Source organism: Homo sapiens, chromosome 20 (genome assembly GCF_000001405.40).
Source record: "Homo sapiens chromosome 20, GRCh38.p14 Primary Assembly".
Lineage (NCBI taxonomy): Eukaryota > Metazoa > Chordata > Mammalia > Primates > Hominidae > Homo > Homo sapiens.
Genome location: NC_000020.11, coordinates 34,974,067 through 34,998,704, shown reverse-complemented (window position 1 = coordinate 34,998,704; position 24,638 = coordinate 34,974,067). Strand labels below are relative to the sequence as shown.

The window sequence follows — 24,638 nt, the reverse complement described above, 5'->3', positions numbered from 1 at the left end:
GTGACCTCAGCGTTAGTGCAGCCCAGTGGCTCTGGTGCCCACCTGCCCACTCCATGGTCACCGGTGCCAGCCCACCTTGCTTTCCTCCTCTAGCTGGCGCCGCAACTCTTCCAGGCTTTGGGCGGCCAGGGCCTTTCCACGGCTCAGCTGACTGATCAGACACTCCTTCTCCTCTAGCAGGCGACTCAGCTCCCCTGCAGGCAAAGAGGCGAGCGGACAGGTCAGGCTGGTGAGGGCTGCACCAAAGCCCTGCCTGGTGTGGCCAGCTGAGCCCCAGCCTCACCGCTTTCCGTCTGTAGTCGCCCACGCTGCGTGCTTGCGTCCGCCAGCTGCCGCTGCAGCTCCTCCACCTTGATCTTGGCCTCGCTTAGCTGATCCTCATAGGTCCGGCACAGCTTCTCTGCACTGGCCTAGGATCCCAGGTTGGGAGTCAGGGGTCAGGAGTTAGATGTCAGAACAAGTTTGTGCATCAGATGGCAGGATCTGGGATCAGAGACTGGTAAGCTAGATGTGGGCCCAGGAATCAAAGGGAGAGCAGAGCCCCAAGTTCAAAGTCAGGGAAAGAGATTCTACTGCTGGGCTTAACAGGTGTCAGAACTGACAGGGCTGGGCCAGTCCCAGGGCAGTGGGTCAGGGTGAGAGTTGGGATGGTAGCTGCGGAGTCACCTGGGGACAATGGTCAGAGGTCAGCTGTCAGGATTATGTGGTAGAAAGGTCAGGGGTTAAGGCTAGGGTGCTGGGGTTCAGGACAGGAAGAGAGGACAGGTATTAAGTCAGAGTTCAGGAGTCAAGGGCTAGGGTCACAACTACTGCTGGTTCAAGGGTCTGAGGCTGGAAGTAGATGCTGGATCAGAAATGACCTGGAGTCAGGGAACAGGGCTTGGGAGTCACGGCTTAAGGTCAGGACTGGTAGGAGGCTGAGAAATGAGGGTTGTGTACCAGGTGAAGAGGTCAGGGCTCAGGATAAGGTACTGGGTGGAGGCTGGTGTGGGAACAGTATTGGCTGCTGGGATCGGGATTGGTTTAAAGTCAGGGTGGGTATGGGGTGAGGAAGGCACGGACACCTTGGCGCGGGTCAGAGTCTCCACGTTGGCAGCCAGGTCGTCCACCTCCATGCGCAGCTCACTCTTCTCCTTCTCCAGCTTCTGCCGCACCCGCTGCAGGCTGTCCACCTGCTCCCCCAGCTCCGCCGCGCCCTCCGCCTGCTTGCGCCGCAGTGCCGCCACTGTGGCCTCGTGCCGCAGCGCCGCCTCCTCCAGCTCCCGCCGCAGCCTCCCCAGCTCCGCCTCCCGCTTGCGGCAGCCCTCGCGCTGCCCCGCGGATGCGCCGCCTGCCTCCTCCAGCCGCTCGCTCAGCTCCTCCAGCTCCCGCGCCGCCTCTGCACGCTGCTTCTCCACGCGGGCCCGGGCTGCCCGCTCTGCCTCCAGCTCCTCTTCCAGCTCCTCCGCCCGAGCCTGGGGTGGGCACGTGGGGCAGCTGTCACCTCTGTGGGCCTCTGACCCCAGGCCTCACCCACCCGATCCCCACGCACCTGCAGCTCCTTGATCTTCTTCTGCATCTGGGCCCCCAAGAGCTGCTCGTCTTCCACCCGCAGGCTCAGCTGGCTCAGCTCGGAGTCCTTCCTGGGAGCCACAGAGTGGGTGGCCAGCACAGGCCTTAACTCCCACCCACCCGCCTGGGACCCCATAACGCCCCCCAGTCCCCTTCAGGCCCTGAGGGACCTCACCCCATGCACCTGCTGCACTGGGCCCTGAGGCCTCAGCCCTGGACCCTGGCTAGGGCCCTCAGTACAGGGAGGGCAAGACACTACCCCTGCACCCCAGTGCCCCATCTGTCAACCCCCACCCTTAACCTCTGCAATGCCGCAGGAACCACAAGAATCCAGAAGGGAACAAGGGCCAGGTGCAGGCTCAGAAGGCCCCCACCTGCTGCCCCACCACACCTACTTCTTGAGCTTCTCCTCCAGCTGCTGCTTGTCTTGAGCAGCATCAGCCACCGACTCCTGCGTCAGCTTCAGGTCACCCTCCAGCTTGCGCTTGGCCCGCTCCGTGTCCATGCGCAGCTTCTTCTCCTGCTCCAGGGAGCATTCCAGCTGCAGAGCAGGCACAGCAGGGGTCAGCCATGGCCCAAGCCAGCCGGCACCCCGGCCCCGCCACCCAGTCTCGGGGTGGCCCTGACTCACGTCCTCCACCTGTTGCTCCAGCCGGAGCTTGGCCTTGGTCAGCGCGCTCACACGGTCCTCCTCGGCCTGCAGGTCACCCAGGGCCTGTTGGTGGGCCTCCTGCAACGCCTTCTTCTCCTTGGTCAGCCGGGCCACTGACTCGTCCAGCGCAGCCATCTCTTCCGTCAGGTTCTTCACCTGTGCCAGGGCCAGGGCCAGAATGGGGACGCCCTTCCCCGCACTCTGAGCGGCCACCACACCACACCAGGTCAGAGCAAGTGCCCCTTCCAGCTATGGGACTCAGGCAAGTCACTTGACTCCGAGCCTCCACCGCTTCTGCCTGAGGGAAGGACCCTCCTCATGGGGTTGTAATGAGGATTCACGAGTGGATGCACCCGCAGTGCTCAGCACCACACCTGGCCTGGTGAGAAATCCACAGATGCCAGCCATGTGCAGTATTAGCATGTGCTCAGGGCAGCTGCCTCCTAGTCCCGGCTTCCTCAGTGAGCACCTGTGAGAACCTAAGCTGCCTACCCCTGCCTCACTTTCCCTCCTGTGTAATGGAGTCCCTCCTCCAGCACTGGGAACCACAGGGGCCATCACGAGGGCTCAAGGGCAGAAGTCACCTGCGGGATGCCGAGCTGGGGACATGGAGTTCCTGCCCTCAAGGGGCTTGCACTCCGGGATGGATGAGGATTGCCAGCATGTGCTAAACACCTACCGTGTGCAAGGCCTAGGAGCGTGTGCTCAGTAAAGGCCAATTACACACATCACCACCTACCCTAATGGGGTAAGTGCTGCTAACCCCACTTGACAGATAAAGAAACTGAGGCCCAGGAAAGGCAGTGACATGCCCAGGGCCAGAAAGCAGAGGCTTAGCAGAGCCGGGGTGGGACCTGCAGCCACCTGGCCCCAAAGCTGGCCCCTGGCTCAGGGCCCTTCCCCACAGCTGGCCCGGCCCACACCTTGTTCTCAGTGGCTTGCTTCTCCTTCTCAGCTTTGGCCAGTGTCAGCTCCAGGTCATCAATGTCCTTCTTGAGCTCCGTGCACTCGTCCTCCAGCTTGCGCCGGCGGGCGGCCAGGTCAGCGTTCACCTCCTCCTCATCCTCCAGCCGCTCACTCAGCTCCTTCACCTTCCCCTCCAGCTGCACCTTGGACTTGATCAGCAAGTGGCAGCGCTCCTCGGCATCTGCCAGGTTGTCCTGCTCCTGGAGGGCACACGGAACGGGGCCAGGTTGGGGGAGGGCCAGGTAAACCAGCAGAGAGACACCAGGCCAGGCCCTGGAGAGGAAACTGCCTCTGTAGCAAAGTTTGGCTGTGCTCTGAGAACTCAGGAATGTCTTGACTCGCTCTTGGGCATGGAAGGGCAATAGCGCAGAGGGACACACCAGAGCATTAAGAGGGGAAAGTTAGAAGTGCGGGGCGGCCCAGAGTGAGGCCCAAACAAGGGTTCTGAGAGGGAAGCCCGCTGCTCACTGCCCCGCTGTTGGGCTGAGGCCTTCCGAGGGGCAGGGTGAGCAGCAGCAGCCTCTGCACAGCCACGGACGGGCTCCTGGAGGCAGTCCCTGGAAGGGCTCAGGTATCCTTACCCCCCATTTCCTTACTGTCCAGCTGCGTCACAGTCTCCTGCACTAGCAGGTGAGTTTTGTGACCACAGGGCCATCTCTGTCTTCCCACCAACGTTCCTCCTGCACTAGCCTGAGCCTGGCACACAATTGATACACAAAGCCATGTGCCGAAGGCAGGAAAGCTTGCTCTGTGGACCTGGGGAGATTCCAGACCTTTGATCTGTGCTCTCTGGCTATCACCCTGTTACCTGCCACCTGGGTTCCCATGGCCCTTAACCAGAGAAGAGAGCATGGGTCTGTTTGGTTTCAGGGATTGCAGGGAGGGGAGAGCTGGGGAGCTGGGGTTCCTCTGCTTTAGCGGGAGGCCAAGGTGGCACGAGGGGAGAGTGCCAGGAAACGTGCCAGACGAGGCCTTGGGGTGGTGAGGCTGGGACATGGAGGCCTCATCTCATGGCATCTTTGGAACAGAGAGACATAAGGCCTGAGCCCCATGGGTCTCGCTGTACTATCCCTCAGAGCAGCCAGGGGTACTCGGGGCTGGGGACGCCCGGTCACAAGGGGAACCCTGACTCACAGCCTGCAGCTGCAGGGCCAGGTCATTCTTCTCCTGGGTGATGCTGACGTGCGTCTCCTCCAGTTCCTGGCGCTTGGCCTCGGCCGCAGCCAGCGCCCCTCGCAACCCCCGCAGCTCTGCCCGCAGGGCCGCCAGCTCCTCCTCAGCCTGCGCCGAGCGCAGCAGCGGCTTCATCTTGAAAAAGAGCTTCATCCATGACCAGTTCTTGACGGCATTGAAGGCACGGATGTTCCACTGGATGGTGAACAGCGCATCCCTAGGGAGGGGCAGCCAAGCTGTGAAGGTGGCTCAGTGCTGCCCGTCACAAATGGTGACACTCAGCACAGTTCACTTGTTTTGCCTTCCCAGCAGCCTCATGGAGTAGCTCCTAATAGCTCTGCTTTATAGGTGAGGGTGAGGGGAGGCCCACAGTCCCACAGGCCTGCCTCCAGTGAAGGGGCTCATGAGCCCCCCATGTCCTGGTGGCCTCTGCAATTCCCGGAAGACACCAGGGCTGTTAAGCCACGGGGCTCTGGAGTCAGCGGCCTGGGCTGACGTGCCAGCTAGCTCTGGATCTCTGACACGGGCACCCTTCTGCTGAGTGGAGGCCATCACAGCGCCTGTTTCTCAGGACCGTCAGCGCTTTAACCAGGATAATGCAGAGAAAGTATCTTGCCTGGGGCCCGGCCCGCAAGAGTCTTGGAAGACACTGGGTGCCATCGCTACCCCTCCGGGCCACACGCTGATGTCCTGAAATGGAGAGGCAAGTGCCGTACCCCGTTTTTTGAGGTGGGGAAATGGAGGCTGGGGGACACAGAACAGAACCTTGCCCCAACCAGCCACAGGGGCTGATCTGACTACAGGGCAGCATGTTAGGGTTGGGAGAGCCAGTGGGTCTGGGAGCTGAGAGGCAGGGGACACACCCTGTCCCCAGCCTCCTTCCCACACCCACCTGCCTCCCAGCAGGCGCTGGTACTCAAGGCGCATGAGGCGGCCACGGCTCCGCGCCTGCAGCAGCGTCAGCACCTTGGCCAGGCGCTGGTCACGGAGCTCTTCCAGGACGCCTAGAAGCCCAGCCTTGAAGAACACCTGGGGGCGGAGAGGTAGACAGCCAGGGTAACCCCCAACCATCCGCATGAACCCTGCCCAGTGTGACCGCCACAGCCATGGCCAGCCCTGATCCCACAGTGCCCCGACCTTGGTGTGGCCAAACTGGTACTGGGTGTGATCCAAGTCCAGCGAGCCCAGCAGTTTCTCTGTGGCCTTCCTGCTGTCCATGAAGGTGTCATCCGGGATGGCACTGGGGTTCAGGATACGGTACCTGGGAAAGGAGGGCAGAGCTGGTCAGGAGAGGGCTGGGTATGGGGCACAGGCCACTGAGAATGGGGAAGTCAGGGACTGAGGAGGCTCGTGTGGGTAGCAGGGGACTCGTTCCTGGGCCTCTCCGAGGCTGGTGCAGAGGTTCCAGCAGGGCACATGCCAAACAAGGGGGCCAGGGATGCGTCACCACACTGGGACACTAGGGACACTCCACTTAAAATCCCTGGGGGGTTGGCTGGGTGCGGTGGCTCACGCCCATAATCACAACACTTTGGGAAGCCAAGGCGGGTGGATTGCTTGAGCCCAGGAGTTCAAGACCAGCGTGGGCAACATGGTGAAACCCTATCTCTACTAAAAACACAAAAATTAGTGGGGCATGGTGGCGGGCGCCTGTAATCCCAGCTACTCGGGAGGCTGAGGCAGAAGAATTGCAGAATCGCTTGAACCTCAGAAGGCAGAGGTTGCAGTGAGCCAAGATCCTGCCACTGCACTCCAGCCTGGGTGACAGAGCAAGACTCCGTCTCAAAAAAAAAAAAAAAAACACAACCTTGGGGGGATTTTAAATGCATTCATTAAGTTTTTAAAGAGGCTTTTTACAGAAGGCATGCACTATTTTTAAAATTTTTTTAAAGGCAAAAAATATTAGTAGAAGGTGACATGCTGTACCCTATCACTGAAGAAACATTTGGGGGAAAATTCTTTTTTTTTTTTTTTTTTGAGACGGAGTCTCGCTCTGTCGCCCAGGCTGGAGTGCAGTGGCACGATCTCTGCTCACTGCAAGCTCTGCCTCCCGGGTTCAGGCCATTCTCCTGCCTCAGCCTCCCGAGTAGCTGGGACTACAGGCTCCCGCCACCACGCCCGGCTAATTTTTTTATATTTTTAGTAGAGATGGGGTTTCACCGTGTTAGCCAGGATGGTCTCGATCTCCTGACCTCGTGATCCGCCTGCCTCGGCCTCCCAAAGTGCTGGGATTACAGGCGTTAGCCACCGCGCCCAGCCCATTTGGGGGGAAATTCTAATGCAAAAGAGCCAGGGCTCCCAGCCTGCCCACTTCTAAGTGGACACATGCACAGGGCTGTGTGGGTCAGGTGGGCTACAGCCACGCTGTGAAGGCCCCTCATGAGGGGGACTCATTAAACAAAGCATGCAGTCCACCAGACTGTGAGATGTTTCACAGCCAAGAAAAACGGATGACGATGGCAGGCATACGCCTGGGGATAAGGAACGATCTCCAGGCCAGACTGTTAGAAAAAACAAGGTCACAGCACCATGCGTGTGTGTGCGTGTATGGTATCTGTGTGAACCTCTGTTTACAAAGGATAGTGTGGATGACACCATGACTTCTGGAGGGAGAAGGAACGATGGATGCTTGTTGCCCATTGAGGGAACGGGGAGGAGCTGGCAGCACTGCCCAGGTGCTTGCTATGTGCCAGGTGTCTCATGAAGCCTCGTCCACATGATTCTCGTTCAACTCCCAAATCTGCATCCTTTCTGCCCGCTGCCCTGAGCTCCAGATTGATAATCCCAATCTCCCCCATGACTTTTCTAGGATGTCTGCTGGAGGCATTTCAAACCTGATACACGCAAAACAGAGCTCAAACCAGTATCCCTTCACCTCTCCTCCAAATCAAAAAACCCTGTTTTTGTAGCTCAGTAAATCTACCACTGGTAGCTCCCAGGTTGCTCACTCCCAAAACTAGAAATCATTCGTCTTTTCTGCATCCAGAATTCCATGTCCAGCTTATCAGCGAGGCCTGTAGGCTCCACCTCCACTATTTGCCCCAAGCCTATTCACTTCTCCCCAAGTCCCCGGCCAGGTCTGAGCCACCCCCATGTCTTGCTGGGATACCTGGCCAGGCCCCTCACAGTCCCTGCTTCCCCCTCCAGACAGGGGACCGTCTGTTGGGCTCTGATATGTGTGTCCTGCCCAGCCCCTCAGGCCTCCACCTGGAGCAGCAGGCAGGGGGAAGGGGTCACCCACCGCTGCCGGAAGTCGGTGTAGAGCAACCTGTTGGGGAACCCTTGGCGGCAGATCCGGATCCCCTCCAGGACCCCATTGCAGCGCAGCTGGTGTAGCACCAAGAAGGCATCCATGACCCCTGGACGTGAGAGGGGAAAAGGTCAGAGGTCAACAGGCACACCCGCAGGCCCCAGAGAAAAAGCAGCAGTGGAGACCCTGCGAGGTGAGGGGGAAGATGTACTCAGCCTCCCGGCCTCTGCCCTGTCACCTTCCCATGATGCCTCCCGGCCCCAGCCAGGCCAGCCCTGGGTGACTACCTGGGGTTTTGTTCTCGTTGGGGACAATGCAGCGGACGAAGTGGGGCTGTGTGGCCCGCAGGTTGGTCATCAGCTTGTTGAGGTTCTCCTGGCAGTGGGGAAGAGTGAGGGAAAGGCACAAAGGGGGCAGAGAACCAGAATTGGATGCCGCAGTGGTCAGGACCGAGACGGGAGCAGGGCCCTAAGTGCCCTGCACTTTTGCTCTTTCACTCTCATTCTGGTGATGGGAGACCCTTCGCTGTCTCCCATCACCACCACCAAAGTCTTCACTTCCCTGCCAAATCCCCGTCCCTCCCAGAGCCCCAGGGCTCCCACCCCTTCCCCACAAACCCTGCCCAGGCAGCGTAGGGACGGGAAGCAGCACAGACTTGCTGTGATGTTCACGTGGAGAGGAGTTAAACATCACTGCAAGTCTTAACAGCCGCCCGCCCAAGGCACAGGGGACAGGGCAGGGGGTGAAGGACGGGGCTGGAGGCTGCCAAGAGGGAGGGTCTGTCTCCCAGATGGGGCCTTACCTTGTGCAGCTGGGACACCGTCTGGAACGATGCTGCCTTCTTACGCTTCTCTTTCACCCCAGACTTGGGGGGCTCAGCTAATAGAGACAAGGGGCCTGGTCACTCCAGGGAATGTCGCTCTGTGGGCCCCTGTCAGAGTGGAGATCTTGTCCCTCCATACTCACTGGAGCAGGAGCCCGCATAATTCTCATAGAGAGTCGCCAGGAGCCTATTCTGTGACTTCTGGAAGATGGGGACCACGGTCTCATTCAGGGGATCCTTGTTTTTCTCCAGCCAGCCCACAATGCTGTAAGGCACCTGGAGAGACAAGTCAGGTGCTGAGCCCGGGTGGGAGACCTGGAGCAGGGCGGGAGGAGCCTGGCCGAGGGCTGGGGTTCCAGCAAGCACCTACCACGCCTGCGTAGTGGACCACCTCGAAGTGGGCCTGGTACTTGCGCTTCTTGTCAGGCCGAGGCTGCTGGAAATTGGGTGACTTCCCCGCGTGGTTGTCGTAGAGCTTGGCCCGGAAGCTGGCGTCTGAGGCCTTGGGGAACATGCATTCCTCCTCCAGGATGGACAGGATGCCCAGTGGCTGGGAACAGAACGAGCTTGAAAAGCCACCATCAAGCCAGTCCATCCTGGAAGGACTGAACCCCTGGTTCCCCAGGCCACCTCCCTTCTGGGAGCCTTCCCAGATCCCCAGCTTCAGCCATCTCCCCGGATGGTCAGACACCACACCCACTCCAAGAACCCATCTCCTAACAGAGAAAAGTTTGTGGCTTGGCTCCAGTCCCCTCCTGCAAAATCTGCAGCACTGAGGTGTCATCTTCACTTCTAACAATGGCAAACCCAAGCTGGCATCTCTGTACCCACTCTCACCCCCGCCACAGCCATGGCTGTCACACACAAACATGGGGTAAGTCAAAAAAAGCCATCAAGTTCACATTTTGGCTTCCTCACTCACTAGCTGTGGGGCCCTCCGACATCACTAAGCCTCAGTCTTCTAACCTGCAGAGTGGGAAGATGAATGTCTTCAGTGCTGACATAATATTTAAAAAGCTGTCAATCACCTAAACGCCCAGCTGTAGGGGACTGCAGAAATGCATCGTATGAAACTCATCCACTGCATGAACTACTCTTGCCATGAGCAGCATTCAAAATACATTTTCAGAGAAAAAGTAGGATATGAAATGAAATCTGTGTCTATAAAAGAAAATGGATAGGCCAGGCGCAGTGGCCCACGCCTGTAATCCCAGCACTTTAGGAGGCCAAGGTGGGTAGATCACTTGAGGTCAGGAGTTCGAGACCAGCCTGGCCAAAATGGTGAAGCCATGTCTCTATTAAAAATACAAAAATTAGCTAGGTGTGGTGGCGCATGCCTGTAATCCCAGCTACTTGGGAGGTTGAGGCATAAGAATTGCTTGAACCCTGGAGGCGAAGGTTGCAGTGAGCTGAGATGGTGCCATTGTACTCCAGCCTGGGCGACAGAGTGAGACTCCATCTCAAAAAAAAAAAAAAAAAAAAAGGGATAAAGGATTTCGAGGAAATGAACCTAAGTGTCATGTGACTGGCTGTGATAGGAATGGGGAGAAACATTTTTTCCCCTGCCAATTTTTCAAATTTTCTTTCTTCCATTCTTTGTACAATGGGTAAATATACATAATGTTCCACAATCACAAAAACAAGGAAACACACCCTGCCCTGCACCCAGGGCAGTTCTAGGGATCCAGTGAAATTGTGGCTGCAAATAGGGCCTTGTGAGCTGCAGAATTCTGAGCACCCAGGAGGAGCTGTTGTCCACAGTACTGGGATGCATGCATTCACACTGCTCACACACTCACCAAGGCTCACTCATGGTCAACTCCAACACACCCACTCACACACGTGCCCTTTCACACACAAGCACATAAACGCTGTCACAACTACACTCACATGCATGCTTACTGCAACGCACAGTCACACGCTTCCATGCACACTTGCAGGCTTCCATGCAAGCCATGGTCATCCATCCCTGCTTGCTCACCACACACACCCTCCCTTCCTCAAAGTGACCTTGCCGCGGCACCCACCTTCTCGATGAGGTCGATGCAAGGCTGCAGGTCAAGGCCGAAGTCGATGAAGACCCAGTCGATGCCCTCCCGCTTGTACTCCTCCTGCTCCAGCACAAACATGTGCTGGTTGAAGAACTGCTGCAATTTCTCATTGGTGAAGTTGATGCACAGCTGTTCGAAGCTGTTGAACTACAAGAGGGAGGGGCCTGGCTCAGCAGACCTCTCGCAGATGGGGAAAGGGAGGCCCGGGGAGGGGCATGAGTTCACCCCCAACTTCCAGGCAGAAGGCCAGGGCTTCTGCCCCCCCACAGGCCCATGTCCTCTACCTTGGAGAGAACAGAGGCCAAGGTGAGGGCCTGTCCTCACCTCAAAGATCTCAAACCCAGCGATGTCCAGAACCCCGATGAAGAACTGCCGGGGCAGCTTTGTGTCCAGGGTCTGGTTGATCCGAGACACCAGCCACCTGAACAGCCGGTCATAGGTGGCCTTGGCCAGAGCCCCCACAGCAAACACCACCTGGAGGTGCAGGGAGGCTGGGCTGGGACCTGGCAAGGAGGGGACCCTGCCCGGCTGTCCCCCATGGGTTTGGCCTGCAGGCAGCTCACCTGCTCCACACTCTGGCCCTTGGTCACGTACTCGTTCCCTACACGCACCCGGGGGTGCAAAAGGCCTTTGAGGAGGTCCCCACTGCTGACCCCCATCAGGTAGGCAGCCTTGTCAGCACCTGGCAGGGCACGAGTGGGGTAAGGGAGGAGGACACCACCATGCGCACTCAGGGGCTCTACTGCCTCAGCCTGGGGCTAGGAGAGGGAAGTTAAGAGGGGTCAAGTTCAGGGCTAGCAAACAAAGCCTCAGGAGGGTAAGGGTTTGGAGCTGAGGAGGCAGGGCCAGGTAAGACTGAGGTTAAAGGTTGTGGACAAGAGTTGGGGTTAACCATCATGGACAGGATGCTGAGGTCTGGGTCAAGTTGAAGGCCAGGTTAGGGCCCCTCACTCTCAGTGCCATCGGCCTCCGCCTGCTCCTCCCGCTGCTTCTGCTTGAACTTCATGTTGCCAAAGTGCAGGAGGGCGCCCACGATCTTATAGCAGGCACATTTCTCATCCACGCTGAAGCCTAGGATGTCCATGGCATGCTGGGGGGCAGCAGGGAAAGCGAGTTCAGAGAGGTCTGGGCTCCTCCAGGGTCCAGCCAGGCACTGCCCCGGGACCATTCATGCAGCTGGGGGCACCGGCAGTGCTGCCCGATTCCACCACAGGCGTCCACACAGCTCCCCTCCCACCAGAGCTCATACGTCGGTGGCGATGAGCTCCTCCCCATCATTCATGTTGTCCACGGTGATGACGCCCTGGCTGCAGAAGTGGTAGTCATAGGGGTTCATAGACAGAAGCAGCATGTCTGGGGACACAGGGCAGAGAAGGGAGGGTCAGGCAGTGCTTACCGGCTATTCTCCCCACAACAATTGCAGCATAGGGGGTCCTGCGGGGGCAAGCCCAGCAGGAGTCTAGGGCCCTCCCAGAGGACCTCATCTCCCAGTCTGGGGCCTAAGTTTCTCATCCTCACTCCTGCCAAGGCTGAGGGCACTGAGAGTGAAGGGCCCTGACCTGGCCTTCACTTTGACCCTGGCTTCTTTTTCTGGTTCTCTGAGGAATGAGCCACAGTCCTCACGTCTCACTCATCTTTTGACTGTTGCTCATGGCCCCCTCTGGCCCAGATCCCATGCTAGATGCTGGCGCACAGGGAAGACCAGACTCTGCCCTCAACGGGCTTGCCAGAGAGGAGAGCTGGGCCTAGACAGTCATCAGTCCGCCTTGGTGCTGGGTGGGACCTCTCTAGTCTCAGGACAGCAAGTGGGGTTTAGGGCTTAGGCTCCTGGAGGCAGCGATAACACGTTGGCAGGTTGCTGGAGCTAAGAGGACTGTTCCCTAGCAGGAAAGTAACCAAAAGTCCCAAGAAGGAAGAGAGGCCACAGACCCCAGGACAGGGAGGGAAAGACCACCAGGGCCTGGCCTGATGGGGGCCAGGAAGCGCCAGGCAGCCCCTCCAGGTTCTGACTCCCACCCCCTTCATCGTACTGCCCCTCACCCTGCAGCTCTGGCTTCCTCCCTGAGAGGATCTGGTAGTAGACATGGTAGCTGCGCTCACCAGGCAACTGGAAGATCACCCGCGACTTCTCCAGGAGATCTGGGGAGAAGGGACGCTGGCCTGCCATCTCCCACACCTCCCCAGAGTGGACATCCCAAGGGGGCGATGCGGAGGGAGAGAGGTGGGCAGGGAGTGTGCAGGGGGGCTGCATCTGCACCTGCCAGCTTGTGTGGGGAGGGTATCTCCCCTGTGCCTGCGTCATCACACGAGCCGTGTGTCTGTACCTGTGTGTCTGTGTCTCTGGCCAGATGGGTCAGTGTGTGTCCTTGCGTGTGTGTGGGGTGAGTGTGGTGTCTGCGTGTGCAGGTTTTTATCTGTTGGTGTGTCAGCGTGTGTGCGTGTGTGGCCGAGCCTCCGTGTGTGTCTGTGTGTGTCTGTGTAGGGGTCAGGGTGTGAATTACAGCCTATCCCTGTCCCCGTCACTGCCTGCCTGCGCTCATCCGTCAAGACCTAGCCATGCAGCCCAATGTGGGGAGTGGCCAACGTGGGGGCCCCTCTGTGTCCCTGGCCCCCTTGAGTGTGGCCTAGGCGCCTGGGGTCTATGCAGCTGGTGGTACTGGGGCACTTCCCAGCGGGGTGCCTGGAAGGATGGGGCACTCTACGTGTAGCTGTGCAGCTGGGGCAGGAGGGCCGTGGGCCAGGCCTGCCCTCTTGGTGGCCAGAGAGAAGACTGGGGACACGCTAGGGGTGCAGTCACAGGAGCCTGACTGGCCAAATGAGGATTTGGGTCTCCATCCTCAGGTGACAGGATCTAGAGAAAGCTTTCAAGCAGGAACAGGATATGACCAGCAAAACTATGGCCGCGTAGAGGAGAGGAAGCTGGAGACCAGGCAGAGGCTGGGGTGATGTTCTGGTGATAGGTGAGGTGGCCTGAGCTGGGCAGCAGCCAGGGGGTAGAGAGAAGTGCCCAGAGCAGGCAGGAGCCCAGAAGTCGTGATGACAGAGGCCGAGTTGGGGTGACCGGGCTCAGGCCTCCTTCCCCTGCACCGCCCGCAGGGGGTTGACTCACAGCTGTCAATATCCGCGGATGCCAGCTTCCCAGAGGGACCAAAGTGAATGCGGATGAACTTGCCCTGTGGGCAGAGGGGCAGCCCTCAGCCAAGGGGCACAGCCAGCACTGTCCCCACCTGTGCCCGACCTGCCGCTGGTGGCCTACGGCATCCCCGCCACCCCTCCCACCTCAGCCACTCACAAAGCGGGAGGAGTTATCATTCCTCAGGGTCTTGGCGTTGCCAAAGGCCTCCATGGCAGGGTTGGCCTCGATGATTTGATCCTCAAGGGTGCCCTGGGGCGGTGGGGGTGAGGGGGTCTGTCAGTTCTGGTGCCTACCCACCGGGAGGCCAGAGCCACCCGTGGCCCCTCTGTTGTGCAGAGGAAGGGGGTACCCCCAGGGCTGCCCCATTGACATTGGCCCCATACTCACCCCCGTCTTTGTTGCCAGAAATTGCTGGGGGAAGAAGACAGACAACATTAGAGGGCCAGGCCTCCGGTGGGGAAGGGCGGGGTGGGGCAGGGTATCAGCGGGAGGCAGCGGGCAGCAGGACAGGGGGGTGGAGTTAGTCACCGGAATGCATGGCCCCCACCCTCAGCCCCTCGGCCTGACCCTCCTGCAGCTGTTAGGAGGCAAAATGCTGGAAAGTGGGAGTGGCACAGCCCCAGCCAGAGTCTCCACCTGCAGCCTCCTCTGCCCCAGCCCGGCCTCTGGCCTCCCTTCATTTTCTAGTCTCCATGCAGTGGCCCTGCTCCAAGCCCCAGGGGCCTCCCGACTAAAATCTAGGGCCCTCCAGAGCCCAGCCCAAGTGCCCCCTCCTCTAGGAAGGCCTCCTGGCTGCTCCAAAGCTGGAATAGACCTCTTCCTGGTCTGAACCTTCCTGCCCTAACCTCCCACTATGACCTTACACACCTCTCCTTTGTAATGCAACTGGGTGTGTCTTCATTGTTTGTCTGCCTGTATACCTACCAGTGCGCACAAAGGCCCTGCCAGGTGCCCATTATTAGCCCTAATTTGCAAATGAGGAGACTTAGCTCTGGGCAGGGAGTGGATCTGCTCAAGGCCACACAGCAAGTCAGGAGCGGCAGGGCAGGTGCCCAGCATCCTGCCGCCTGGACGCCACAGCGGTCCTGTGTGTCACCCAGGGGGACTAAGTGAATTGAGCAGATCCTCCTTCTCCCCATCCTAGCCTCATCCTCACTTTCCCTTCCTTTTCCTTTCCTTCTCTTCCCTACTCCGGATGCTGGGAGCCAAGGAAGAAAGGGAGAGAAGGGAAGGAATGGATTCTGGAGGGAACAGATATACCACCACGGACTTTGTGGTCATTCATTCACCTCCAGGGAGCCCAAGAGTTAAAATACCCACAGGGACATTGGGCAGGGGAGGTGGAACCCCCCAATACACTCCCATCCAGTGCTTTTGTGCAGGGCTCTCTCTAGCCCGTTTGGCCAAATTTGGGGCCAAGGTAAGGGGAGCTGATCAATCTTTTAAGTTCCTGCAGCCATGGCTCCTGCGGGCAGCCTCTCCCACCCCTCCCTTGCCCGACCCTCTCCCCTGGGCTCCACTGTCCCAGCTCCTTTCTGCCCAGGTGCTCCTCTGCCCTTCCAGCTGTGTCCCTGCCAGCTCTGGCCTCTCCCTGACATCTCTTCCTGTCACTTGACCCACCCAACTTTCTGTTACGTCCCCAGAGACCTTTTTAGGGATTTGGAAGACAGGGCAGGAAAGGGAAGGAGGAAAAAGGACCAAAAAGTCAACAGCAAAAACAAAACAAAACAAAACTGAAATGAAAATCAAAAATCAAGACAATCAAATGGGTAAAAAGGAAAAGGCAAAAAAAAAAAAAAAAAAAGAAAAGAAAAGAAAAGAAAGAAAAAAGAAAGAGAAAAGAAAGAAAGAAAGAAAACAGGGGAAAAACAAGAAAAACACCCAGAATAAAGCAAGGCTTAACAGGACCAGGAGCAGGGACTGGGTGGGGAGGGAGGCCTCGGGCTTCTGGAAAAAGGCAGCCCATCTAGGGGTAGCCACAGGGCTCTGAACAACTGGCCCCAAGGCTAGGGATGAAATGTTATGCCTTAAAAACAAAAACAAAAAAACTTGGCCCCATTGTTTCAGAAATTTCCAAAAACTGTACAGAAATCACAAGGCACAAAATTGCCCTGCCAACCCCGGCTGCTGGGAATGCCCAGTGCCCTGCATGCCAGCCAACCTCTGTGTCTAATGTGTCAGCAGCAGGTAACTGTCAGGGAAACCAAGACAACAACGCTTAGTAAAAGCAGCCCATCTAGTAAACTCTTTCAATATATGAAGGTCACAATGGAAGATAAAAATTACACAAATTTAGAAACGGCAACGTGGCCCCACCCCTCCATGTTTACCAATGGGAAGGCGAAGGCAGGCGCGTCAGGTGGCCACAGCCTTTGTGGTCAAGCCTTGCTCAGGCCAGAGTCCCCCACCAGGGTGGGAGGCTCAGGCAGGGCTCAGGGTTCTGGGGAGTAAAATTTTTAAAAAGGGGGAAAAAAAAAAAAGAGAGGAAGAAAGAAAAGAAAAACAGCGAGAAGCAACGGGGAGCATGCCCGAGTGGGCAAGTCTTACGGCCTTCTTGCCCGGCCCGTCTCCCAGGGCAGCGACGATGGCAAAGTACTGAATGACCCGCTTGGTGTTAACCGTCTTACCGGCCCCCGACTCTCCGCTTGGACGACACAAACATGAGTCACCAATGCCCATCTGGCCTAATTCTCCCCCACCCCCAATGCCTCACCCCTCAAGCAGAGCCCTCCACCTCTCCTTCCCCCCAGCTTGAAACCCCCAAGGATGGATCAACCCTCAGAGGTGTACAAAGCAAGCCAGTGTAGACCATCCCTGTGAGATGACAACACACGATGATGCCATTGTCCACTACGGACTAACTCAGTGCCCGGCACTTTACTCCATTGGCTCAGTTACAGCTCAGAAAACCCTGGAAGGCAGGCTCCATTATCACCCCCATTTTAGGAACAAGGAACTGGGCCTCAGGAGTTCTGTGGCTGTCCCTGCTGTGTGCCAGGCACATATATCAACTCACTGACTCATAACTTTGTGTGGTAGGTAGGATTTTTTATTTAACTTTTCAATTTTTTTTTTTTGGTAAAGATGGGGTCTCGCTATGTTGCTCAGGCTGGTCTCAAACCCCTGGCCTCAGGCAATCCTCCTGCCTCAGCCTCCCCAAGTGCTGGGATTACAGGTGTGAGCCACCACACTCAGCCGGGCCCGTCTGGGTTAAAGGTACTTGCTTTTTTTTTTTTTTTTTTTTTTTTCGTGAGATGGAGTCTCATTCTGTGGCCCAGGCTGGAGTGCAGTGGCGTGATCTTGGCTCACGGCAACCTCCGCCTCCTGGGTTCAAGCAATTCTCCTGCCTCAGCCTCCTGAGTAGCTGGGATTACAGGCACCTGCCACCACGCCCAGCTAATTTTTTGTATTTTTAGTAGAGATGGGGTTTCACCATGTTGGCCAGGCTGGTCTCGAACTCCTGACGTCAAGTGATCCACCCACCTCAGCCTCCCAAAGTGCAGAAATTACGGGCATGAGCCACTGTGCCCGGCCAAGGCACTTGCTCTTAACTGCATACGCGCATGCACACTCACACTAAACATTGTCCATATTGGCCTGACTGGACATGAGCCTGGCATGTAAGAATTATTCTACCATTTTCCCACAGAGGCAATGGAAAGATCAGAGGTAAGATTCAGACATAAGTAGATGGTAAAAAGGAGGAAAAGCAGAGGAATCTTTCCGCTGCCCCTGAGCCAGAATTAGAACCCCAGAGGATCAAGGTGGGAGATTCCAGGCCCCGGGGAGAGGAGGTGTGGGGCTGGTGGTCACTCCGTTTGTGGGTGTCCCCTCCCTATCCCCCATCAAGAACACATCTGTTCAGAATGGGGGCAGGGAAAGTGCTCAGGCCTAATTTAGCTTCAGCTGGGACACTAGCTCCAGGTGGTAAAAGTCCTGGCCTAAGCACTTTGGATTCAATCCTGGGAAATGACTGTGGTACCGCCCTCTTTCTGCCAGATGGCCAGCATTTTCCACCCCACCCCCAGAGCCCCACACTCACGTGATCAGCATGGACTGGTTGTCTCGGTCTGGAGGAAAGGGAAGGGGATAGAGAAGTCAGCCAAGGTGTGGGGCCAGCCACAGGTGGAACACCCTGGGTATCCATCTGGGGCAGACCCCACCACCCAGAGCCAGGAATGGGAAGGAGCAGGTGGGGCTGTCCCTAGTGGAGGTCAGCTCCCATGCGGAGGGACAGAACGGCTGGGCGACCATGTCCAGCAGCGTCAAAAGGGGGGCAGTGCCAGTGGGGGAAGGGGGTCCCTTACAGAGGCCTCCCGGGACCGAGGTCGGGGTCTGCGGTTGGGGAGGAGTCCAGGCGGCCCTTACTGCGCAGCATGTCGTTGTAGGCGTTGTCCGCCACCGCATATATATGGGGCGGGGAATCTGAGCGGCGCTTTCCCTTGTAAGCAGCCACTACGGAGGCCGTATAGACTGGGAGCCATTTGTAGGGGTTGATGGTGACACAGAAGAGGCCTGAGTAGGTCTGAAGAGAGAGTATAGGTAGGGTTTATGTTGTTGTTTTTGAGATGGAGTCTTGCTCTGTCTCCCAGGCTGGAGTACAACGGCATGATCTCGGCTCACCGCAACCTCCGCCTCCTGGGTCCTGCCTCAGCCTCCCAGGGTAGCTAGGACTACAAGCGCGTGCCACCACGACCGGCTAATTTTTGTATTTTTAGTACAGACGGGGTTTCACCATGTTGGCCAGGCTGGTCTCGAACTTCTGACGTCAGGTGATCCGCCCGCCTTGCCCTCCCAAAGTGCTGGGATTACAGGCATGGGCCACCACATTCTCCCCCCATAGGTAGGGTTTTGGGAGGGATACGCAAGTTCCCATCCCCAGGCCCCAGGCCCCAGTCTTCAGAAGAACCCTGCGATATTCCTCAAGGAGCTACTTGACTTGCCACACCACACCCTCTGTGGCCGTCCTGGCCTCACCCCTGACTTGTGCTCACAGCCCTGCCCCAGCCCACACGCACGGCCTCCATAGTCCGCAGGTGAGTTCTAGACCCGCCCCGCACTGCTACAGCTGCTCCCCTAAGGTCCCAAGGCCCAACCTCCAGCCCCGCCCCCACTGCTCAGAGCCCCGCCTCATCGCTCACAGCCCCACCCCCGCTATGGACCCGCTCTATCATTCACAGCCCCGATCCACCGCTCACAGCCCCGCCCCACCGCTATGGGCCCGCCCCCAGCACCTCATCTCTAGCCCCGCCCCACATACAAGCCCCACCCCGCCCATGGCCCGGGCCTGGGGCTCACATAGATCATCCAGCGGGCATAGCGCTGGCGCAGGTTGTGCAGCACAGAGGCCTCGTTCAGGTGCGTCATCATGGCCATGTCCTCCAGTAAGTCGAAGCGAGGCGGGTTCATGGGCTGCAGCTCGGCTTCACGCACCATCAGCACCTACCAGGGAGATCGTGTCAGGGGCCGGGGGACCGGGAGGAACCGACCGACCTCACCTGTCACCCCCACCCACATACCCAGACCCCCTTCAACCAGAGGGCAGATCCTGTTGGCCAGGAGGCCTAGGGACAGAGAGGCTAATCTCAGGAAAGGGGGAACGGAACCTTCTGGTCTTTGGTCTCCACGGTGACTCTGCCCCCGGTAGCCTCCGACTTGACCTCGGCCTCCACGTAGGCGTCCTGTTCATCAGGCACCCAGACTCGCTTCTTCCCTGGGTTGCAGAGAGAGCTCTGGACTCAGAGAGGGGCTGAGGCACCTCCAGGTTCTAGCTGGAGTTCCCAAGCCATGGTATCCATACAGCTGTGACCCTCCCCAAAGCCCCTCTGCCAGGACCCAGGAGTTCCAGTGAAGAACCCTCCAAACCCAGGCTCAGGAAGGGCGGAGCTGGGAGGGTCCCTAGAGATCCCCTTATTGGAGGATGAGTCTGGGTTAATGGTTGGGTTCCAATTCCTGCTTCCGCCATATTTGCCCTCTGACCTCAGGAAAATCCCTGATTCTCTCTGGGCCAGTTCCCTCACATGCAAAATGTTATGGAGATCTCCTTAGGTCCCATACAGAGCAGCCCCTCAATATCAGGCATATGACTCTTAGGGAGGGGTCCTGCCTTCCCTATTTCACTGAAGACTCAAACCCAGGCCTCCTAACTGTAACCTGTGCTCTCCTGCCTGGCCAGCTGTCCCCAGAGCTTTGAGGAGCCCAGATTTCATGGTGGTTAGAAGCATGGACTCAGGCTGCAAACCGGAGTTTGTGTCCCCTGCTCTGCCAAGTGCCTGGGTCAGGACCATCTAGAACCATCTAGGACCATCTACATAACCTACAGACCCCAGTACAAAATGACGATGTGGGTCCCCTTGTTGAAAACAATTAAAACTTTCAAGACGGCAACAGCAGAGTGTCGAATCAAACACAAGGTCCCTCTTAGCCTGGCGCCCTGTGAAGCTAGGTCTGGTGCTGGCCCCACCTCCCCAGGTTGTTGAGATGATGCATGGAAAGTCATCTGCTCTGGGCCTGACACACAATAAGCATTCGGTACACACTGCCTATTGTTAGTATTGTCCTATGAGCAAACCAGGTCATAAATAGTACAGCCTTTATTCCTGTCCCTAATAAAGGGTGGCTTTGGCTCTGCAGAAACCACTAAAAATAACCCCAGCACAAGTTTTGTGGACACGCGGAGGCAGCCTGCACACATGCCGATCAGTCTCATCTCAGAGGCCTCGGGCTCCAGCCTGAGTCTTCATAAACTGCAGCTCCGGAAGGCAGGTGCTATTATCCCATTTCACAGGGGAACAAACCAAGGCTTGCTCACAGACACACAGTGATATACAGTGTCCCTGGGGTTTTAATTTCCAGGCCCCAGACTCTGCAGGAAAGGTCCAGGGCTCCAGCTGTCAGGCCCCAATGCCCCTTCAGCCCTGAGCTGGTGCCACCCCTCCCAATTCCTGGTCTGAGTCCATAAGGGCATCTCTGTGGCTATGACCCCTCCCCCTCTGTCTCCACTTACCGTCCCATGGGATAGTGTGCACCTTCGTCATCTCCTGGTAGCCCTGGCGGAGGTAGCGGGCAGACTCCCCAAGTTCACTCACATCCATCATGGCAGTGGCACTGGGGTGAAGGAGGAGGAGCTGGAAACCCTGGAGGTTCAAGGCGGCCCAAGGCAGCAGGCACTGGAAGATGGCAGTGACAAGGGAGCTGAACTAGGGCACGATCCCCCAACCCACAAGACCAGATACTAGGCGACTCCCTCTGGCTCCCAATGCAGCCTCCTTGGGTGAGTGCCCAGCATACATGCACACCCTCAAACACCAGGGCTTCCTCCACTCCAGATTCAGAAGACTCGCGGCCACCCATGGGCACCCTCACCCACCCGCCCACCCTCCTGCCCTCCCTTCGGCTCCAACCCCAGCCCTGATCACCTACCTCGGCACCACGGTGAGGGCAGGAAGCTCTGCTACCCCTTTTATTGCCACTGTCAAGGTCAGAGGAGGAGAGCTATGTCAGCAATCTCCACGTGTCACAGCCCCCCCAGCCTGGCCACAGGACACAAAAGGCAAATTCCCTTTTATCTCCACCAGCACGGCCCCTGGGCTATTTTTACCTCCCATTGTCAGGGGATCACAAAGGCGGAGAGAGACACTCCACTGAGAGACAGGGAGGCTGGGTGCAGAGACTGACGGGGACAGGGACAAGGCAGTAAGAGGTTCAGGAGACTGAAGAGCTCACGGGGAGAAACCAAGTCACGCAGAGTCTGACACACCCAGAAAAATACCCCACCTCCAGATACAGAGAGCAAGGACACTCAGAGGGGAAACCACAGAATGCCTACTGAGATTGGACCAGCTAGTCCAACCCTCTTGATACATCCAGGGAAACTGAGGCCCAGAGAAAGGAAAGCATTGGCCAAGTCTCACAGACGAGCAATGGCCAAGAACAGATCAAAAAGAGAAGGAGAGAGAAGGAGAAGAACAGATCAAAAAGAGAAGGAGAGAGAAGGAGAAGAACAGATCAAAAAGAGAAGGAGTGAGAGGGAGAGAGAGAGGGGGGAGGGGTAGGGGGAGAGGGACATCCTTCTCAGACATCTGCAAAGCGCAAACACCTGTGTCCCCTCGGCTCTACTCAGGGTATAGGGCATCGCCTGCCTCCCAGAGGCTCTCTGGTGCCTCCACTCTGTACCCTACCTCAGAGGTCCACTCTGCCACTTCTATCACCATAGGCGAGATTTGCCTGTTTTGAATGTATATGGCTGAAAATGTAGCTTTGCACTTATTTCTCTATATTTTATCTGGCACACTTGTGCATTTGGAAGTGGGAGCACATCGATGCCCTCTTTCCCTCTTCCTCCCTCCCCATCCTCTTTCTGGGGACCCCCTGGGGAAATCATACATGAAGAAAACCAGCCCTGGAACTTATAGAATCAAGGAATTGTTTGGCTGAAATGGAAGCAAATCAAGGAAATGTAACCCAGTTAGGAGCCCCTTCAGATCCCCACATTGAAGATTCACAGGAAGCCACCTTCCCGTGGCCCACTCTCGACAGAGGTTCAGGGCGCTGGCAGTCCATCTGCCTGATACAGTCTTTGGAATGTGTCAGGGCACCTCCAGGCTCTCCTGTCCATCACCCCATTCAGGGCTCCGTGACGCCACAGGATTTTAGAATCGAGAATGAAAGGATCTGAGAACCTCAGACGCCAGACACATGGAACAATGGAGTTCCAGATCCAGGGTTCCAGCCAGAGGCCAGACCAGGCTCACACGGGAAGTCCTCCGACCGATGCGCTCCCATTCCAAATGCACAGGTGTGCTAGACGAAATATAGAGAAATAATTTCCCAGCTACATTTTCAACCATCTACATTCAAAACAGGCAAAACTCGCCTATGGTGACAGAAGTGGCAGAGTGGTCCTCTGAGGGAGGGTAATGGCTGGAGGCACCAGAGAGCCTCTGGGAGGCAGGAAATGCTCTATACGCTGAGTAGAGCCATGAGACACAGGTGCGTGCACTTTGCAAAACAAATCAAGCTGTACATCTAAGATGTATGCACTTTACTGTGTGCATATTACATGAACACATTTAAAATTACAGTGCCGGCCAAGCGCAGTGGCTCACGCCTGTAATCCCAGCACTTTGGGAGGCCGAGGAGGGCGGATCACGAGGTCAGGAGATCGAGACCATCCTGGCTAACACAGTGAAACCCCGTCTCTAGTAAAAATACAAAAAAATTAGCCAGAGGTGGTGGCGGGCGCCTGTAGTCCCAGCTACTCTGGAGGCTGAGGCAGGAGAATGGCGTGAACCCGGGAGGCAGAGCTTGCAGTGAGTGGAGATGGCACCACTGCACTCCAGCCTGGGCGACAGTACGAGACTCCGTCTCAAAAAAAAATTACAGTGCCAAACTTGGCGATATTTATCAAAATTACAGCCGCCCAGACCCTATTAGGAATTAGTCCTACAGTGTGTCTCCATTAGGAAATGACGCGGGTCCCCTCTCGGTAGACATTTCGATTGTTTTCAGTCTTTTGCCATTACAGTCAAGGCTGCAGTGAATGATCTTATAAAGTTTGATGAATTTTCTCAAAGTAAACATACCCTGGGTCAGGCACAGTACCTCATGTCTGTAATTCCAGCACTTTGGGAGGCCCAGGCGGACACATCACTTAAGCTCAGGAGTTCAAGACCAGCCTGGGCAACACATCAAAACCCCATCTCTACAACAAACAAACAAACAAACAAAAATTAGCCAGGCATGGTGGCATGCACCTGTAGTCTCAGCTACTCAGGAGGCTGAGGTGGGAGGACCGCTTGAACCCAGGAGGCAGAGGTTACAGTGCGCCGAGATCACACCATTGCACTCCAGCTGGGCAACAGACCCAGTCTCAAAAGCAACAACAAAACAAAACCGTACCCTGTACAAAAACAGAAATTATGAAAAATTATCCCCTTCGGGCCATCCCTCACCTAGGATAATAGAATACTGACTTCTTTTTTATTTTTATTTTTTTTATACCGACTCTTGCTTGATCCACAATATAATACTGACTTCTAACCTCAGAGATTAGTGTTGTCTATTTTCAGAATTTGTTTGAATGGAATCCTACATTATGTATTCCTTTCTTCTTTCTCTCCGCATTGTCTCTGTGAGAACCTCACTGTTTCAATTCTCTTTGTAGAGCTTAGATTGTACCTTGCCTACCTCCTGCCACTAGAAAAGACCTGCACAAGGGCAGGAGCTTGGTCTGTGTCCCCGGCACCTTGCCAAGTGCCTGCACATCATAGAAAGTCAATAAATACCTAGTAAGTGAACGAACCAAACCTGATAGATAATAGGATTTTAATCTCCTATGGCATCAGAGGCTGGAGAGCTGGGCTGGAGCAATTTATAGAAAGCCCAGAAAGTGGGAAAAATTCTTTTCATTGTTCAAGGATGCTCAGAAGGTAGGGTTTCTTGTCAGGGACCAACAGAATTAGCCTGGAGAATCAGAACCTCTAGCAAGTCTAACTTACACCTATCATGTGGGTCTGAGTCCTAGAGTTACCTACTCAGTGTATGAACCTGGGGCTGAGAAACCAAGCCTCAAAATGGGTCTAGATCTTCCTCGTAGGTTCCCTTCCACCACCCAGGGTGCATCTTCCTGCTGAGATAAGCTCACAAACAAACATGACAACGCAAAGAGGAAACCCAATGCTCTGAGTGATTTGCAACAAATACTATAACCTGCAAGGACTTAAGTAAGATACTGACTTTCAATACCTGAAGAGCTTGTAATCCCAGCACTTTCGGAGGCTGAGGCAGGTGGATCATTTGAGCTCATGAGTTTGAGACCAGCCTGGCCAACATGATGAAACCCCGTTTCTACTTAAAAAAAAAAAAAAAAAAAAAAGGCTGGGCATGGTGGCTCATGCCTGTCATCCCAACACTTTGGGAAGCCAAGGCGGGTGGATTACCTGAGGTCAGGAGTTTGAGACCAGCCTGGTCAACATGGTGAAACCCTGTCTCTACTAAAAATACAAAAAAATTAGCCAGGCATGGTGGCAGGCGCC

At 56.4% G+C, this 24,638-nt stretch overlaps 1 protein-coding gene and 2 non-coding genes across 10 annotated transcripts in view, besides 4 other annotated features; 1 reads left to right on the top strand and 2 right to left on the bottom strand.

Annotated features, from left to right (window-relative positions):
- Window positions 1-24,638, bottom strand: part of MYH7B (myosin heavy chain 7B) — a 46,570-nt gene that overhangs the window by 3,733 nt on the left and 18,199 nt on the right. Inside the window, exons 3-34 of one of the 8 annotated variants that reach the window (NM_020884.7) lie at window positions 23,206-23,305; window positions 21,025-21,073; window positions 20,609-20,771; window positions 19,209-19,315; window positions 18,901-19,044; window positions 17,971-18,127; window positions 17,645-17,672; window positions 16,150-16,246; window positions 13,990-14,013; window positions 13,759-13,851; window positions 13,576-13,639; window positions 12,507-12,605; window positions 11,716-11,819; window positions 11,418-11,556; window positions 11,030-11,148; window positions 10,791-10,940; window positions 10,443-10,613; window positions 8,786-8,965; window positions 8,559-8,691; window positions 8,395-8,471; window positions 7,880-7,967; window positions 7,584-7,701; window positions 5,480-5,603; window positions 5,235-5,371; window positions 4,304-4,559; window positions 3,127-3,369; window positions 2,183-2,359; window positions 1,947-2,092; window positions 1,532-1,622; window positions 1,065-1,454; window positions 284-410; window positions 76-194 (exon numbers count right to left, since the gene is read on the bottom strand). In NM_020884.7, coding sequence (NP_065935.4) covers window positions 76-194; window positions 284-410; window positions 1,065-1,454; window positions 1,532-1,622; window positions 1,947-2,092; window positions 2,183-2,359; window positions 3,127-3,369; window positions 4,304-4,559; window positions 5,235-5,371; window positions 5,480-5,603; window positions 7,584-7,701; window positions 7,880-7,967; window positions 8,395-8,471; window positions 8,559-8,691; window positions 8,786-8,965; window positions 10,443-10,613; window positions 10,791-10,940; window positions 11,030-11,148; window positions 11,418-11,556; window positions 11,716-11,819; window positions 12,507-12,605; window positions 13,576-13,639; window positions 13,759-13,851; window positions 13,990-14,013; window positions 16,150-16,246; window positions 17,645-17,672; window positions 17,971-18,127; window positions 18,901-19,044; window positions 19,209-19,315; window positions 20,609-20,699 — 3,993 coding nt within the window. In that variant the 5' untranslated portion in view covers window positions 20,700-20,771; window positions 21,025-21,073; window positions 23,206-23,305. Of the gene's footprint in view, window positions 1-75; window positions 195-283; window positions 411-1,064; window positions 1,455-1,531; window positions 1,623-1,946; window positions 2,093-2,182; window positions 2,360-3,126; window positions 3,370-4,303; window positions 4,560-5,234; window positions 5,604-7,583; window positions 7,702-7,879; window positions 7,968-8,394; window positions 8,472-8,558; window positions 8,692-8,785; window positions 8,982-9,337; window positions 9,382-10,442; window positions 10,614-10,790; window positions 10,941-11,029; window positions 11,149-11,417; window positions 11,557-11,715; window positions 11,820-12,506; window positions 12,606-13,575; window positions 13,640-13,758; window positions 13,852-13,989; window positions 14,014-14,169; window positions 15,387-16,149; window positions 16,247-17,644; window positions 17,673-17,909; window positions 18,128-18,900; window positions 19,045-19,208; window positions 19,316-20,608; window positions 20,772-21,024; window positions 21,074-23,205; window positions 23,306-24,638 lie in introns of those variants that run through there. The other 7 variants (XM_006723840.4, XM_047440336.1, XM_047440337.1 and 4 more) reach the window with 7 other exon arrangements.
- Window positions 8,208-8,329, bottom strand: MIR499A (microRNA 499a). The gene has a single exon (NR_030223.1). It is a non-coding gene; the product is annotated as a microRNA 499a (primary transcript).
- MIR499B (microRNA 499b) lies at window positions 8,233-8,305 on the top strand. The gene has a single exon (NR_039912.1). It is a non-coding gene; the product is annotated as a microRNA 499b (primary transcript).
- Window positions 11,890-12,441: an enhancer, noted in NCBI's record as "H3K4me1 hESC enhancer chr20:33574067-33574618 (GRCh37/hg19 assembly coordinates)". NCBI's record gives its function as "activates a minimal SCP1, AML or CMV promoter by ChIP-STARR-seq in naive H9 embryonic stem cells {active_cell/tissue: H9 hESC(naive)}" and the evidence as "EXISTENCE:reporter gene assay evidence [ECO:0000049][PMID:30033119]".
- Window positions 12,442-12,993: an enhancer, noted in NCBI's record as "H3K27ac-H3K4me1 hESC enhancer chr20:33573515-33574066 (GRCh37/hg19 assembly coordinates)". NCBI's record gives its function as "activates a minimal SCP1, AML or CMV promoter by ChIP-STARR-seq in naive H9 embryonic stem cells {active_cell/tissue: H9 hESC(naive)}" and the evidence as "EXISTENCE:reporter gene assay evidence [ECO:0000049][PMID:30033119]".
- Window positions 14,096-14,647: an enhancer, noted in NCBI's record as "OCT4-NANOG-H3K27ac-H3K4me1 hESC enhancer chr20:33571861-33572412 (GRCh37/hg19 assembly coordinates)". NCBI's record gives its function as "activates a minimal SCP1, AML or CMV promoter by ChIP-STARR-seq in primed H9 embryonic stem cells {active_cell/tissue: H9 hESC(primed)}" and the evidence as "EXISTENCE:reporter gene assay evidence [ECO:0000049][PMID:30033119]".
- Window positions 17,956-18,507: an enhancer, noted in NCBI's record as "H3K27ac-H3K4me1 hESC enhancer chr20:33568001-33568552 (GRCh37/hg19 assembly coordinates)". NCBI's record gives its function as "activates a minimal SCP1, AML or CMV promoter by ChIP-STARR-seq in naive H9 embryonic stem cells {active_cell/tissue: H9 hESC(naive)}" and the evidence as "EXISTENCE:reporter gene assay evidence [ECO:0000049][PMID:30033119]".